Source organism: Homo sapiens, chromosome 20, assembly GCF_000001405.40.
Source record: "Homo sapiens chromosome 20, GRCh38.p14 Primary Assembly".
Lineage (NCBI taxonomy): Eukaryota > Metazoa > Chordata > Mammalia > Primates > Hominidae > Homo > Homo sapiens.
The window spans coordinates 8,495,563-8,512,848 of NC_000020.11; the positions used below are offsets into that span (position 1 = coordinate 8,495,563).

At 36.0% G+C, this 17,286-nt stretch overlaps 1 protein-coding gene and 1 long non-coding RNA gene across 3 annotated transcripts in view; both read left to right on the forward strand.

Annotated features, from left to right (window-relative positions):
- LOC124900459 (uncharacterized) overlaps nt 1-16,943 on the forward strand; it is a 112,238-nt gene extending 95,295 nt beyond the window's left edge. The window contains exon 2 of the long non-coding RNA XR_007067518.1: nt 1-16,943. This exon is cut by the window's left edge and continues 73,221 nt beyond it. This is a non-coding gene — a long non-coding RNA (uncharacterized LOC124900459).
- The window catches only part of PLCB1 (phospholipase C beta 1), a 752,635-nt gene that overhangs the window by 363,297 nt on the left and 372,052 nt on the right, over nt 1-17,286 (forward strand). The window lies entirely within an intron of this gene.

Genomic DNA, 17,286 nt, shown 5'->3' on the forward strand with positions numbered 1-17,286 from the left:
AATTTTTTGTATTTTTAGTAGAGACGGGGTTTCACCCTGTTAGCCAAGATAGTCTGGATCTCCTGACCTCGTGATCCGCCTGCCTTGGCCTTCCGAAGTGCTGGGATTACAGGCGTGAGCCACCGCGCCTGGCCGATTTACCTTCCTTACTTAACCAATCATGCCACTAGCTTGCACTGGCCTCAATACCCAACGTTTTTCCTACCTTAGGGACCTTTTCCTACCGTGGGGCCTTTGTATTCTCTATTCCATCCTTTCTGCAATTTTTCCAGATCTTTCCAGCTCAGCAAAATTGCCATCTCTCCACATTGCCTTCTTCACTCTATTCAAAGTAACGAAGGGTACTTCCCCCAAAGCAACTGATGTTCCCGTGGCTTGCTTTATTAATCACAATAGGACATGATCTTCTACATTAGGTTTTCCTCCATGTTTTCTGGCAGCCTCTGAAGGATATGAGCCATAACAGAGCATAGACATTGCTTTTTTCTTTGTAGCTTAATCTCCAGTGCCTAGTATCATTCCCAGCATATAATATGTTTAATGTGAACTGAATGAGAAAACTAAATGAGAGGCTTAATTTTATACAGCAGTGAAGGTATGTCCCAGACTTATAATTTAAGGAGAACTTACTCTCTAGAAATGTGGAGTAGCTGGACGTGGTGGCTCAAGCCTGTAATCCAAGCACTTCGGGAGGCCGAGGTGGGTGGATGACTTGAGCCCAGAAGTTCGAGACCAGCCTCGGCAACATGGCAAGACCCCATCTCTGCAAAAAAAAAAAAAAAAAAAATACAAAAATTAGCCAGGCAGGGGATGCGCCTGTAGTCCCAGCTACTCAGGAGACTGAGGTGGGAGGATCACTTGAGCCTGGGAGATGGAGGCTGCATTAAGCAGTGATCGCGCCACTGCGCCCCAGAGAGAGAGGGAGATGCAGGGTAATTGATTTGTACCTTTACTTTGAAATGTTTAATAATTAGTGATTTTCTCAGTCCTCTCTTTTTCTCATGGGCCCCTTTAGTAAATGCTGATGGACAAGATTCACAGGCCATACTTTAAAGCCATTGATGGAGGTAGATTTTCTTCCCAGGGTGCTTTTTTGGCATGGAGTTGGCTAAGAATGTCCTTAAAGGCCATCATACATAGGTGGAAAGTAGAAATCAGTTCAAAGAAAGACTGGCAGAGCAGATCATAAGTCAATACATGAATCAAGTTGGCCTGTATCCTACCAAGTACAATCTTTTGTTTAGTGGTGTATCTACTACCACACTCTCAAACTCCTAATGATACTTTAAAATTAACCTTCATGCTCATTTTTATAATAATGTTGAAGGTCAGGCAAGAGATAATATCCTCACTTTACAGGTGGAGGAACTGAGTCAAAGAAGTACAGGACTTGTATAAAGAAAAGCTAGTCTATATGATGTCTCTAAATCCTGGGTCTGAACTACTTTAACGATATTAAAAGCTTGCTTGACATAAAATTTTAAGACTGTTACGATTAGAGTGAATGTCAGTGATATATGTGTCTAAGGAATTTGATAAATATACATGAGATGCTCTAATGAATTCAATTGCTTGGAAGTGAAGGGGAAAATGCACAAATTTTTACTTAGGCTCATGCTTTTCATGTAGAAACAAACATTGAAATTTGGAAGTGAAAAATCTACCTCTTATCTTGGGTATATATGCTGCCTATATATATGCATATAGTAAGATGTTTAAGTTTTTAAAATTAACTGCATTGTTGAGTATTTGAAATACACATCTGTTATTTGTTATTGAACTTTAAAATGATATATGAGGATTTAGGTAAATACTGTCTGTCTAAAATTAATTTTGGAAAGTAACTCATAAGATGATATTTTCAATACAGTTTTGCCAGCAATTATTAAATATGTTTCGAGAAGAAAATTGCTATTCAAATTACCCATCTCATCCTTGGCACTTTCTAAAAACCAGACAAATATTTTTTAGTTTGTGAAGGCTGCTCATAACAGTTACAAGCTAATTAATTATAAAAGATTTAGCCATGCATTTGACCATAAAATAGATTGGTTGTGGCTGCTGGATTATAGTTTTAGATGATTTTATGATCCATGTATTGCCTTGACTTACTGATGATTTAAATGATTGTGTGTGGGTGATTTAAAAAGCAATAAGATTAATAAAATATTTATTTTGGGTAAAGGTACAGAATATGTTTTGAATAAATAAAGTATGGAAAAGGTATCTAAATTCCTCATACATTTTTAAAATCAGTTAATAAATAGTAAACATGCAAGAAGCTCATTAACTATAGAAATTTAGCCTATTAATTAGGGAGTGTTCATTTTTAACCACTATGTTCATTTTCTAGTCTAGTACATAATATTTTTCACAAGTCTTCAGAACCTCATTTTTCCTTTTATATAATAATGACTCTCCAAATATCTTTTTGTTTCTTGGTCATTATTTATCTTTTAATAAGACAATAAAACCAATAATAAAAGTGTATTCCTATAGCCAATAGCCAAGAATCAAAATATGCCTTTATGGGTTTTTCTTTTCTTTTCTTTTTGAGATAGAGTCTTGCTCTGTTGCCAGGCTGGAGTGCAGTGGCACGATCTCAGCTCACTGCAATCGCTGCCTCCCAGGATAAAGTGATTCACCTGCCCTAGCCTCCCAAGTAACTGGAATTACAGGCACGTGCCACCACGCCCGGGTAATTTTTTGTATTTCAGTAAGATGGAGTTTCACCATGTTGGCCAAGATGGTCTCGATCTCCTGACCTCATGATCTGCCTGCCTCGGCCTCCCAAAGTTCTGGGATTACAGGCGTGAGCCACCACGCCCGACCACCTTTATGTTATTTTATTTAACCTTCAAATAATTATATAAAATTGATATTATTTCTTTACTCCACCAATGCTTATTGGGCAACTAACAACTATGAACCCTTCTGAGAATTTGGGGTACAGTGGCAAAATAAAGTTGTCAAAGGGCCCTGTCCCCTTGGGGATCACAATCTCAAGGCGGCGGGGAACATCCGGAAATAAGATAGTTATAGTTGGTGATGCATTACCAGAGACATGTGATGCCATAATAGTGACTAACCCAAGGACAGTGAGTTAGCTTTTGTTGCATAAATTACCCCCAAAATTTAGTGGCTTAAGACAACTCTTTGTTTAGGCTCATGTTTCGGCTATTTGAAATTTGGGGTAGGCCCAGCTAGCTGTTTCTGCTGATGTACGTCAGACTAAGTTCAGTTAGAGGAACTTATAGGAGAGCTGTGAACTTCCAGATGAGTCGAAGACAGGCTGAGGGTATCCTCAACTGAGATGGCTTATTTCTGTGTCACATGGTGGTGGTAGGGATCCCAAGTACAGCACGGGTCATTAGTAAAGCAGACGTTCTGGCCTTCATTTCATTCTTTTGAGTGTATGCTGTATAAAAATTGACCAAATTATCCACAAATCTTCCTGTACCACTTGTCAAGGTTGAAAACCCAAGAAAAAATAAGATTCTTTCTATCACTGGAGTGATATTACTGAGCTTTTCAGAGTCTATTCTCATGCCAAGATGTATGTTTGTTAAATTTTGAGCCGGATGTGGTTTTCATTCAGAAAGTATTTGATGATGACTTCTCAAGCAAGGAATAACTATAATAGCTTATGTGCTTTTGGGATATTTTAGGTAAGGGTGAAAATAATAATTCTGAGAAACATACAAGTATTGCTTTTTTCTTCACATTCCCTAATTTTCTTCTTTTGTACATTCCACGGAACAATGCCTTCTCATATATTCACCTGACGTGTTGAACATCAATATAGGATTGAATGAAGCAAAACCTTATGTATGAGTTACACTGGAGAAAATCAAATAACTATATATTTTTTTCTGGCATTAGAAAGTCAGAAAGATATACAGAATTAGTGCCAATGACTGTATCAGTTGTTCAATGAAGAGAAGATAAAGAGGTCATATAGCAGAGAATTGTATTTGTATACTCTTGTCTATAAAATTTAGAACATTTTGGTTGTTGTTTAAATTTATATAAGCTTGTTTTATTCTTGGTATATGTGCCAATATCTACCCTTTAAAATCCATGCCATTCAGGTAGCTCAAAGGATATACTCAACTCTGACATTTGTAATAAGTGAATAGGCTAACTTGCTGCAATTTGATAAAAACAGAAGCACACATTAAGTTAAATATTTGTGGAGATTTGGGTGTGATTCACAAAACTTTTCTCTCATTTTATTTTTCATTAATTCATTCAACCAATGCATACTAGAAGTGTATTATTTGTTAGGCATTGTTTTCGGTGCAGGGAACACTGATAAATAAACAGGTAATGTTACTGCTGCCTTTGAGCTTCTAGTCTATTAAACATTAGATGGACAAGTCAGTCTTTCTACTTTTTAGAAACAACCAGCAGATAATATTTGTTAACAAAAGTCATGATGTAAGGAATTTACTAAAGGAATTCAGAAAAGATTACATATTTTTCTGGTTACATAATATAAGAAATTTACTGAAAGATTATAGAAAAGATTATGACTAAACTGTATCCAGTATTTTAGTGATTTGTTTAGCAGATTATTAATTTAGGTAAAGGTCATTTTGATTGGAAACATCTATCAAATCAGTCCATGAGGTAAAAGAAAGCAAAAGAAAGCAGAGTCTAACAAAGGAGACAGAACATTTTAATAAGAGATACCTTTAAATTATATTTTATACCATACGAATTGGTCTCTTTGTTTGAGAATTCAAATATTTTACAGCCAATACCACATACATTTACATTCGGATTCTATATACTCTTCTAGTTTCTAGTTATATACAGATATTTCAGATAATAAGAACCAAATCTTGCCTCAAATGCTAACATCGTGGATGACAACATAGAGCCTACTGTAATCCATTATGATATGAGCAATGATGGTAGGTTTGACAGCTGCATAGGGATCACAGGAGAAACTGTACCTGAGCTGTACCTGTATCAAACAACTACATAATTTTTTCTGTCATTGGGAAGTCAGAAAGATATACAGAATCAGTGCCATACCTGAGAGTTCAACTGTGTGCAAATAGCTCACACCGTCTCTAAGTGTTTTATTTCTATAATAAGAAAGGTAAGATTTACCAAACTCTTTCTTCTTTATTTTTATTATACATCCTTTATTAGTGATTACTAGCCCATGCTCAAATGTTAGCTTGCCTCGAATCAAATCCTAGAGTCACTCTTAATTATTTTTATGGTATTAGGTAAGTGATTTCACCTCCCTAAGACATAGTTTCTTCTTCCATAATATGAGATTTATGAGGAAGGTCCTAACTTGTAGTAGGGTGGTCAGGAGGCTTAAGTGAAATCATAGCTAAAACAGTTAACAATTCCTGAAACCACACAAGTACACTGGATATCCTGACTATTGGTACTTGTATTCATACTTGCATTTATAATACGCATTTCTCAGATACCCCAACAGTTCATATCCAGACACCCCCAATGGATACACCTGAGACTGATACCAGGTCATCATTTTTCGTTCTCATGCTGCCAGCTACACAAGAGGCACGCACTGTGGATCCACAGACGAAACAGACAGAGGCTATGTTCCATTCAAGACCTGGAACAGATGATCCCTTTTCCACGACAAGGACCAACCTCTGCCAAAACAAATCACTTGGCACAATTTCTAACTCTAAATTAATGTCTTCACTTATTTGCTTAATAACTCCCTCCATCCTCGCTGTCAGATCAGGCTAGGAGAGACTCCATTGGATGAGCAGTAGACTGCTCTTCCCCAGGTGCCTAGCACAGTGCCTGATGCACCACACGCTCTCAGTGTGTGCTTGTTGAAGAAACAAAGACACAGTCTGCCCTTTTCATTGAAAGCAGTGCCCCAAGGCAGCGGGTCCAATCCAGGTCACCTCCATTGTGCCTTCCCATGAGGGCTTGCTCAACCCTCTCCCACCTCCTGTGGCCACCTCTCTAGAGAAGCTTCTTCCAGCTTGCCAGACAGTCTAGCTTGGAATGCTGAACAGCATCCCTGGTCCTTCTGAATTTTCTAGCTGGGGAAGCAAAATGTCAGTCTATGATTAATCCCACACAATAGGTGGTAAGAAACATACCGATGCCATATCTTGGCCTGAGGCACAACTCTTCTATGGAGTTGAGTTTCCTGTAAATTCGTGGCTGTTGATTGTTAGTGTGCAGTCTTAAGGCCTTAACATGTATTTATAAACAGTCTTCTTTTTAAAAGTGCAGGAGCAGTGTATATAGTATGCGGTATGCCACTATTTTTTTTAAAAAAGATATATCGCATATATATATATATATATATATATATATATATATATATATATATATATATATGACTTTTTCTTGCTTGTATTATCCCTATGTTTTATTTTATTCTCCAAAGTTGATATTGTTTTCTTCTAAGGAATGCAATTCCAAAAAAACAAATATTGAAACCAATAAAGACATAAAATTTATGGTTAATAGCTTCATTTCATTTGTTAAATGTAATTAACGTATCTTTTTATTACTAAGATTATTTACCATTTTAATGTATATAATGACTATTGCATTAGATTTTATTTTTAAAATGCTGTTACGCAAACTTAAAACCAAAATTACCAGTGTTCTATGGGACAGCTCTAAATACAGTATAGCTATTAAAAATATATATTCTTAAAGTGTGCTAGGAAGAAAAAACACTTGACATGAACTATTCTGACATTTAAATCTTCTCTTATTCTTGTCAGCACTGCCACAGCAAATGATAAAGGTGGTATTAATAGCCATATAATTTTCTGAAATTTTTGTAACATTTTTTAACTCACAAGGCAGCTGGACATGTTTACAGCTTGAAATCTTTTATTGCATTATTTGTAAGATATTAATATATGGATATCATATATGAAGGAAATAAAATGCATAATTATTTTCTGGCACATTGACTTGCATTTAATTAAATAGTTTTTTCCTACTTAAGTTCATCTATCTATCGAACATTTCTATGTTCTAGTTATTCTTTGAACAACTGCCTTCTTATAGATAAGAAAATTTTCGGTTTGCTGATTGGTAAATTGGTAGTTACTCCTCCATTTTTGGTTCTTGTTAGTTTTCTAACACTAGGTTCAAACTCTTGAAGAAAATATTTTGTTCTGCATGCACCTTTGCAGAATTCTTCGAAAATTTGCTGGCAGAATAGTTGTAGAAAACCCCAATTACAGATAATAATTTTGCCATTTTCCTGATGACCCCTAGAGAGGAATAAATTTGCAAAATTAGTTTAATTTTGTTTTACTCCTGTGTCTTGTGCTTTCTCATTTCCTTTCCTCAAGTTATAGAAAATACATAAGCCCAGTACAGATTCAGTCCCCTCTTCCACTCTACTCTGGCCAGTCACCTCTCTTCATCAATCCTGGGGATGACTAAAGAGAAGTAGGGAATATATGATCCTTCCACTGACCAGCTATGTGCAGGGACATTTGGCAACTGAGTTGACCTTTATCTGGACAATGATAGAATGAGAACCCCTCTTAGAGGTTAATGTGAAGATCAAATTAGTTAATAGAAGGGAAGACACTTTGGAAAGTGAACCACAAAGGCCACCAGTAGGAGTAGAATACTAGGAAATGATCTTTCTAAATGCCAATCTGGTCAAGTGCTTCCTGCAGCCTGTCTCCAACAATACAAAGTATCCAAGCTCCTTAGAATGGCATTCAGATCTCTAAGGATAGCTGATGGCTTCTTGGACTGCCCTTTGATTCCTAAGAGATACTGCCCATGGTTTTTCCTTTCCTCAAATTCCTGGTAAGACACCTCTGTCTTCCTTCTACACACTATTCAATACCGTCTTCTCTTTGACATGACCTTTTCCTTCCACCTCTTTTCACTTCTCTCTTACTTGCAGGGTTAGGAGACACCTGCTATGTGAGTGTATGTAAACCATACTTCACAGAGCAAGCCTTAAAAAAATACCAGCTTTCATCCTTTTTCCTTCCCTTCCTATTAAACCCTATACAGTCATATGTACAATGTATTGAATAAGTATGGTGAGAAAAGAAAGTGATATATTTGTATTTCTTGTACAGTCTTCTACAAATCTCTGAAATTAGACATGACTGTGATTTTTTTTTAAAATAAGTGGATGTTAGGATCTGGGCTAATAGGGTTGGGGGTCTGAGGGAGACTTTTCATTGTATACATTGATTTGATCTTTTGAATTTTTAATCATGGGAATATATTTCTCATGTCAATATTAAGTAACATAAATAAAAATTTAGTATAAAATTTTAAGTCTAGAAAAGTCGAATGTAAAAGTTTCATTCACTCGCCTAATATCTAAATTATGTGACTTACAAGCATATGGTGGAGAAAAGAATATGGCTCCCATTATCAATATTTCCTCCCTTCCCCTTGTCCTATTTCTCCTCCATTACTCAGTAGAACACTCTGACATCCTTAGGGTTGAAGCAGAGGTGGAGAGGAGAGTTAAGGAGCATAAAGATTTTACTTGAAAGGCATTGGTTTAATCAGTTTTTGGCAGCTGAGCTTGACAGAAAAACAATGTATTTCTCAGTCTGGCTATGGTCCCATTGCAGATCAAGAGGGGGCTGTGCTCTGTGTCACCTCCACTCTAAGGCCCAGTGACGGAGCCTGCACCGTTTCTAATGTTTCCGGTTACTGTGGCAGAAGGAAAAAGCATATGACGAATCACACACTGGCTCTTCAAATGTCTGCCCAGAAGTGACACAGTCCCCTTGAGCTATAAGTTCCTGGTCAAAACAAACAACATGGCCACACCTAACTTCGAAGTGGGCAGAGACATGCAGTGACCCATGTATCTAAAAATACTAAAAATAATGGTAAATAGCACTGATAAATATTTTCTGAAAAATATAAATCAAGAGTGGAATTCCTTTTAATTTTTCATTTAGTTATAGTTTGGGCTGTGAGATGGTTGTGTTACACATGAAATTCACATAATTAGAAAACTATAGGTGAGTATGCTTTAACCCCCTGCCCCAACTTCCTCCTCTTTCTTTGTTCTTGTTTTCTTCCCCTCCTCTTTCGCTTATATTTTCCTCTGACCTCACCCTAAAAACACAGTTTAACCTACAAGGTACCAGAATACCAAACCAAACCAACCAAACAAAAACAACAACAAAAATTGGGTGCCCTCTGGAATGTTTGGCTCCAAAAAAAATATTGAAATCTATAGCACCACTGAAATGTCTAATATTACCAATGTGGCATTAATAAATGGACAGTCGTGCTCTTTTGTAGCTTTTCTCTCTGGAAGGAAGATATTGGATAGTTTTTGTTTTTTAGAGACAAGGTCTTACTTTGTCACACAGGCTGAAGTTCAGTGGAACGACATTGGCTTATTGCAGCTTGACCTCCTGGGCTCAAGTAATCCTTCTACCTCAACCTCTAGAGTAGCTAGGACTACATCACCAAGCCGGGCTACTTATTTTGAAAGTTTTGGTAGAGATGGGCTCTTGCTATGTTGTCCAGGATGGTCTCAAACTCCTGGCCTCAGCAATCCTCCTGGAGGCCTTGATATCCAAAAGTGCTGGGATTACATGTGTGAGCCCCTGTACCTAGCCAGATAGTTCTTACTGTGACAAGGGGACAAGAAGCCTTTTCTCAGGGAGGACCAATGGCAATTCTTTTTACCCCACACTCTCAACAATGATTCTTCCAGGACCATTTCCATTTCTTCAGTCTATTGCCTCCTTTCTCATTGAGTGGCGAGCACTCTTGAGACCCAGCAGTTTGCTCTATCTCAACCCACTGTGACAAATAGGTAAACATAGGCTGGGATGTAAGGAATGGATAATGGATACTGGTTTTAGTTACCCCACCAGAGACATTTTAAGTTAATGCAATTGATGAGTAAAGCAACATGTATGGTTCTCTCTCACCAGGAGAGGAAAGGAATAGAAAGAATAGAGAAATATAGCCTACTAGTCAGTTTGGTGTTTGTTCCAAAATAAACCCTAAAATCTTTGCAGAGGCAAATTGCTTATTACTGTACCGTCAAGTGAAATGCTCCATGAAATATGTTCTGTTTTGCTAGACGTGTTTGGACAATTTCCTGAAACTGTTAAACTGCTCAATGGTATTAACTCTTCTCCAACAGGCCATTAGAAATTTTAGCATTTAAAAGAGAGAAGAGGGAAAATACAGTTGGCTCAGTTGAGAAGCAATCTCTTGGAGCTGGTAATTATGTCACATCTGTTTGGAGAAACAAGTTGGCCTTTAAGAGAGTGAATGGGGTAACAATTTAATTAAAGATGGGTTAGATTGCATGGAAATTACTTGCTATTATTATTGGAGGAATCTATCAAAATGGACCACTGGGAAAGCACTGTTTTCACTGTTTCTTGAGGAAATTGTTCTTGGCATAACAGTAGAATTTAACTTCCTTTTCTGAATGTAAGTTTCAGCCCTGCTGTATGGAGGAGTGAGATCATTGCATAGGGTCTGTGCACTTCCCCAGTTTCTGTTTTCTTCCTTTCTTACTCAGATGCTGTTCTTTTATAACTTTGTTTAACATAACACTTGAGCCAACATGGTATGATCTGGTTTGTGGTCGCTTTCTTTGGTTTGCAAGAATTTTGGAAGGTATTATTTGCGTTTAAAACAAACTATTTGCCTATTGGCCATCTGGCCAGTAATTCCAGCATAGAATTCTAAGCTCTGTGAACTTGAACCTAACTCAATTGAACTTGCTAATCTAATAATAAGTCTATTGCCCCACCTCAATATTACCAGTGGGATGGTAGAAGGTTTTATAAGCACCTCAGTTTTTTTCTCAGTGTGAAATCATCTATATCAATCTTTTTGGTGCTGTACCCTATACTGAACATGGAAATTCCACCATTTAACGTGCTAAACAGCTAGCAAAGAACTATTCCATAGATATTGAACTTGAAAACTATACATTTTAATAAGCCAAAGTACATCAGGAAAAATCAGAGCTTTAATGAAGCTACAATTGTAGATATGTTAAAAAAGACACCAAGTTCATTGTAAATGAATTTCCATTTGTTGGTTGATTATTTATAGGGTGAATTGCCAAAAAAGATAGAGTTAAATAATCAGTCCATCTAACTGACCTTAACTAATGTAAAATTACTTTCTGTAAGCCCAGGTTAGTTATAAAAAGATTGACCCTTTACCGCAGTTTATCTGATATAATCTCAGATTAATTAATCTTGATTAGTTTGTTATTTGCCTCAGATTTTTAATTTTAAAAGGATATTATTGGAATTGTACTTTTTAAAATAGTTTTAATAAAAATATTACATAGGTCTATTCATATAATAAAACTATAGTAGAACCTTGAACAAAATAGAGGTGAGGAGAGCTGACTCTTTACATAGTCAAAAATCCACTTATAACTCTTGACTCCCTAAAAACTTAATGACTAAGAGCCTACTGTTGACCAGGAGCCTTACCAATAACATAGTCAATTAACACATATTTTGTATGCTATGTATTGTATACTGTATTCTTACAATAAAGTAAGGTAGAGAAAATAAAATGCTACTAAGAAAATTGCAAGGAAGAGAAAATATATTTACTATTAGTTAAGTGGAAGTGGATCATCATAAAGGTCTTCATCCTGTTTGTCATCACGTTGAGTAGGCCATGGAGGAGGGGGCATGGGAGGACTTGGTCTTACTGTCTCAGGGATGGCAAAGGCAGAAGAAAATCAGAATATAAGTTAATCTTGCAACTCAAACTCATGATTTTCAAGGATCAACTGTAATTTCTTAGTAATAAACCCTTTAGTCTCACAAGTGTCATGATTTGAACAACAAATTGTATGGTCACGTTGGTCACCCTAGGTAGAAATTTGCTGATTTCAGCAAATTGGAAGTTACTGCATGATTGTCAGGATCTGAGAAAGCAACTGAGAAGTAATAGTTACAATAAGTTACAAACCTTTTAGGACGGTGAACATTTTAAGGCGTATGTTTTCTCCATGTGTCACAACCAACAGTAAACAAAGATCAAAATCATGGTAGAAAAGCAGGATTTAATGGACATCAGAGAAATTGCAGATCTGGAATACAAGGCAATAAAAATTTACAACAAGGAAGTGGTAAGCCAGAGAGAGCTGCTTCATGGTGGTAGGCCCAGGGGGATTGGAGAGAGTGGTGCCAGAAAGTTGGATAGAAAAGTTAATGCAACAATTATAAAGAAGATAAGAACGTAGTATTTGAAAATAAATATTTTAACAAGATAAATATAATACAAAAAATGGAATAAGAAAAATACATTATTATCGAATATTCTGTATTGAGTTTTGGAAGTTTATGTGTCTCCTTTTCTAATGCCATGATTTTGCAATGCATTATTGTTAGTAATTTTTAGGTCTGCCTATCCAAATTAGGCTTTTGCAGCATCTAACACCCTCCACCCTAGCTCACTTGGTGGGTGAGCCTCCAATGACTACACCCAAGGAGGATTTAACACAGGGATTTTATGACTTGCAACAAGTCAGGAGGACATGGGGTTGGGGTAGTTCAGCAGTGCCTGTCTGAACAAAGGTGAAAATTGGGCTTTTATTGGGCTGATCAAGGGGGAGTAAAGGCAGCCAGGAGCAGTCGCCTGTCATGCTTCTACCTATATTGCATGTATAGAAAAGGGAAAATAAACTCCTTCCTGGGCAGGGTTTTAGTATGCTAAGGAGGGGAGTTATTCAACTTCAATCCAACTCAAGCATCAGCATTGCTGCGTCCATCCCAGTTTTGTTTTGCTGGGGCTGAACTTCTTCCTATAACTTTTTGAAACAACAAGAACTCAAGGTGTGACAGTTACAAGTGGGCCCTTTTTCACAGTGTGTACCTAAACACGTGAGGACCCTGGATTACAGAATGACAGACTCGAAGTGACTCAAGTTCCGGTTGTTCATCTTTAGATGGTAAAGATGGCTGTACGTACTATCCTTGCTTATTTCCAATCTATTGTTTAAACTCTTGTATATGTAATACCGCAGAGGCTAGAGATACAACCTTTGACCAAATGAGTGAATTCAAGTAATCCATTACTAATGTGATCTGGAAACAAACATGGTGTTGAATGTGCATATGTCAGTTCTATGTTGGGAGTTCACTATAAGTAGGAGTTCTCTAAAAGCACTTCCACGTAGAATGCAATGATTATTTAAAAATAAGTAATAAAAATGTGCAAATTTAAAACATGTATATGCTTTGAATTATATATATATATATGAATTATATTTTACTATGTATACAATGAAAACTGAACAGTAACCTCAGCTATTGTATAAAAGTGAAACCAACAAAAGATTTTTTGGGGAGGAAGATTATTTTACTACTGACATAAAGAATTGCCAGGAAACAATGACAGCAAACACAACCAACTTTTAGTTGCCATTTAAGAAAAATTCTTTCAGATAATGCATTCCTTTATTACTTGAACGGAGGGCAGACCACTCCGTCCATTCTACCCTTGGCACACATCACTTCCTAAACTGTCTTATTGCTTTTAATTGTATATTTTTTCCCTTAATTTCAATTAAAATCTATAATTCATTAGCTGTCAAAACCTGACCTGTTTGAAGTAGTAGCAATTCAACATTAAACCTCGACTAGTGTTGAATAATATTTTGGGGCTTTGTGTTGTATGCTACAGAGTGACCCCCCACAAGTTCCTTGCCCATGTGTGGCTAGACAATGGAAATAGTTCCGTGCTTCAACATGTTCCCCAAACACATTCCACAGGAGAGCGCATCCGAGCATCAATTCTTGTAAGACAACTGGGAAATGAAGTCATAATTTGAGCTGAAGCAAGGAAGATTATTAAATATATTTTCCATGTGCTTTGAAAATATATGCAAAGTAAAGCAATCAGTGCTTGCCACTTTGTTTGTATTCTAAAAGAAAGCTAGTTAAGGTTTTTCATCAAACTGTATTCTTCTTTAGGCTTATAAAGTACCATGAAGAGGAGGTAAAGAGAGAGTGGATATTTCAGTGGCTAAACCCAAAGTTTTTTAGCATTTAGACTATGGCACCCTCTAGAAAAGCAATTTAAAATGTGAAAAAAGAGAGGTCAGTTAAAAAATAGATTAGATAGATAGGTAGATAGATGGATAACAGGTAGGTAGACAGATGATTGATAAAGAGATAGGCAGATCATAGATAGATAGATAGATAGATAGATAGATAGATAGATAGATAGATAGATAGATAGCATGAAGATGGTTGAGGTGACTACACCCTATGCTTCCTTCTGAAGTTTCGGGAATAATTGTTCATTTTCCAAGTGACTGCTCAATACAACATTGCTCTGTTAGGTAATTTAATGACTGGTGTAAGTACAAAAAACATTGCCATCTGCTTTGTTTCTTTTGGCCTTAATTATAATGTTATCTTCTTTTCAGAGGCTATATTGTGAAACACTTATTATTCACCATTATTTCTGGCAGTGATTATAATTTATGACCAACAGTGCAGCACTGAATAATGTCTTGATTGATTGACTGATTAATGTAGATTTTGTAGGTGATAAGGGACAAAAAGCCTGAGAAGATTTTCTGGAAATGTAAAAGTAATTTTATTTTCTACTATGTTTGATGCCCAAAGATCACTGTACTGATAATTTTAGTGAATAAAGTGTCAACTATAACAAGGAGCTTGTTTATTCTATCAACCATGTGATTTCAAAACTGGAGCTTGCTTTCACTTTTGAAATTTTCCATAAGCTAAATCTAATCCTCTATATTTACAACGAAATTAATTTTCTGAGTTATTTATTTTAGGATAACTCTGATCTTTTTCTTTTCTTTTTCTTTTTTTTTTTTTTTTTTTAAGATGGAGTTTCACTCTTGTTGCCCAGACTGGAGTGCAGTGGCGCGATCTTGGCTCACTGCAACCTCTGCCTCCCAGGTTCAAGCGATTCTCCTGCCTCAGCCTCCCAAGAAGCAGGGATTACAGGCATGGGCCACCACGCCCAGCTAATTTTTTTTTTGTATTTTTAGTAGAGGCGAGGTTTCGCCATGTTGGCCAGGCTGGTTTCCAACCCCTGACCACAGGTGATCCGCCCGCCTCGGCCTCCCAAAGTGCTGGGATTACAGGCGTGAGCCACCGTGCCCGGCAACCCTGATCTTTTTCAAACTGCAATTTAAAATTTACTGATCACACAGAACTGAATTGATTTTTAATTGTCATTCTGAAGAAGTAATTAAACTTTAATTACTACTTCTGAAAGAGAGGGTTTTTACTAGGACTTTTTCTGACAGGACAATAATTTCATTTTTTGCAATTTTTATTTATAATTGGCAAATAATGATTACATATGTTTATGGGGTACAATGTGATGCTATGTGTATATATTGTTGAATGATTAGATCAAACTAGTTATCATATCCATCACCTCACACACTAATCATTATTTTGTAGTGAGAACACTTAAAATCTGCACTGTTAGCAATTTTGAAATATATATTATTATTAATTATGGTCACCATGCTGTGCAATAGATCTCAAAAATTATTCCTCCTGTCTAACTGAAACTTTGTACCTTTTGATTAACATCTCTGTCTCAGCCTCTGGTAACCACCATTCTACTCTCTACTTCTGTAAGTTTGATTTTTTTAGATTCCACATATAAGTGAAATCATAACAGTATTTACTTATCTTTCTCTACCTGGCTCATTTCACTTAGCGTAACTTCCTCCAAGTTCATTCATGTTGTTGCAAATGACAGAATTTGCTTCTTTTTTTTAAGGCTGAACAGTGTATATATACATACAAAACATTTCTTTATCCATTCATTAACTGATGAATGGAGATAAATATATATAAAACATTTCTTCATCCATTGATTAACTGATGGACACTTAGGTTGGTTCCATATCTTGCCTGTTGTGAATAATACTTCAAGAACATAGGAGAGTGGATATTTCTTTAACAGTTGATTTCAAATCCTTTGGATATGAACATGGAAATGAGATTGGTGAATTCTAGGGTAATTCTATTTTCAGTTCTTTGAGGCATATCTATACTGTTTTCCCTAATTGGCTATACTAGTTTATATTCCTGCCAACTGTGTACAGGGGTTCCCTTTACTCCACATTCTCGCCAACGTTCGTTATCTTTTGTCTTTTTGATGATAGCCATTCTAACAGGTATGAGCTGATATCTCACTGTTGTTTTAATTTTAATTTCTCTGACAATTAGTGATATTGAGCATTTTTTCATAAACTGGTTGACCATTTGTATATCTACTTTCAAGAAATGTCTATTTAAATTCTTTACCCATTTTTTTAAAAAATTCGATTCTTTGTTTTCTGCTATAAGATTGTTTGAGTTCCTTATATATTTTGGATATTCACTCCTTATCAGATGTGTGGTTTGCAAATATTTTCTCTCGCTCTGGGTTGTCTCTTCAGCACAGAAATGGACAGTCGCACGTTACCACCTGTATGATCATTATTTTAAACACAAGCAGGAAAAGCTTTTGGGTTCCAAAGTTTCAGTCATTATGATTGAAAAACTGCCAAACTGGTAGTGAAACATTTATTGGATTGGGGATTAAGCTATTCATTCTTTTCGCATTAAAACAATGATGTAGTTTTATTCGTAAATCTATAAAGTTAAGTGCACAGTCATCACTTTTAGTACGTTCTGATTCATTGAAATCCTGTAAAATTTTATGGAAAAATCTGTGTAAACAAGCTTTAAATAAGGCAATATTCCAATACCAAAACTCGGGATTTAGGCATAGGTGCTATATTTACAATTCTTAAGTAATTTTCATGTATTTCACATATTTTTAAAACTCATGTTACAAAATAGCCTAATTCTCTTTACTTTCTGTGTATGAGGGAGGAATTAACATTTTGTAATATAAACCTCCCAAAAGTTATTCAGAATATTTCTAAAATAAACTGTTTTAGATTCTTGGAGAAATTCTGTGATGTCAAAATCTCTTTCCTTTTTTTAAACAATAAAAAACATTGTGGCTTTGTTTTTTTAATTGATAAATAATAATTATATACATTTATGGGGTGCATTTATGGGGTGCAATGTATACATATATCAAATTTTACCCCATATTGTACATTGGGTACAATCTGTACCCTCATAATACAAATTGTACCCCAATGTACAATATGGGGAGCAATTTGATACATGTATACATTGTGGAAGGAGTAAATCCGACTAATATATCCATTACCTCACGTACTTATCATTTCTTTGTGGTACAAACATTTCAAATTCATTCTCTTAGCAATTTTGAACTATACGTTAT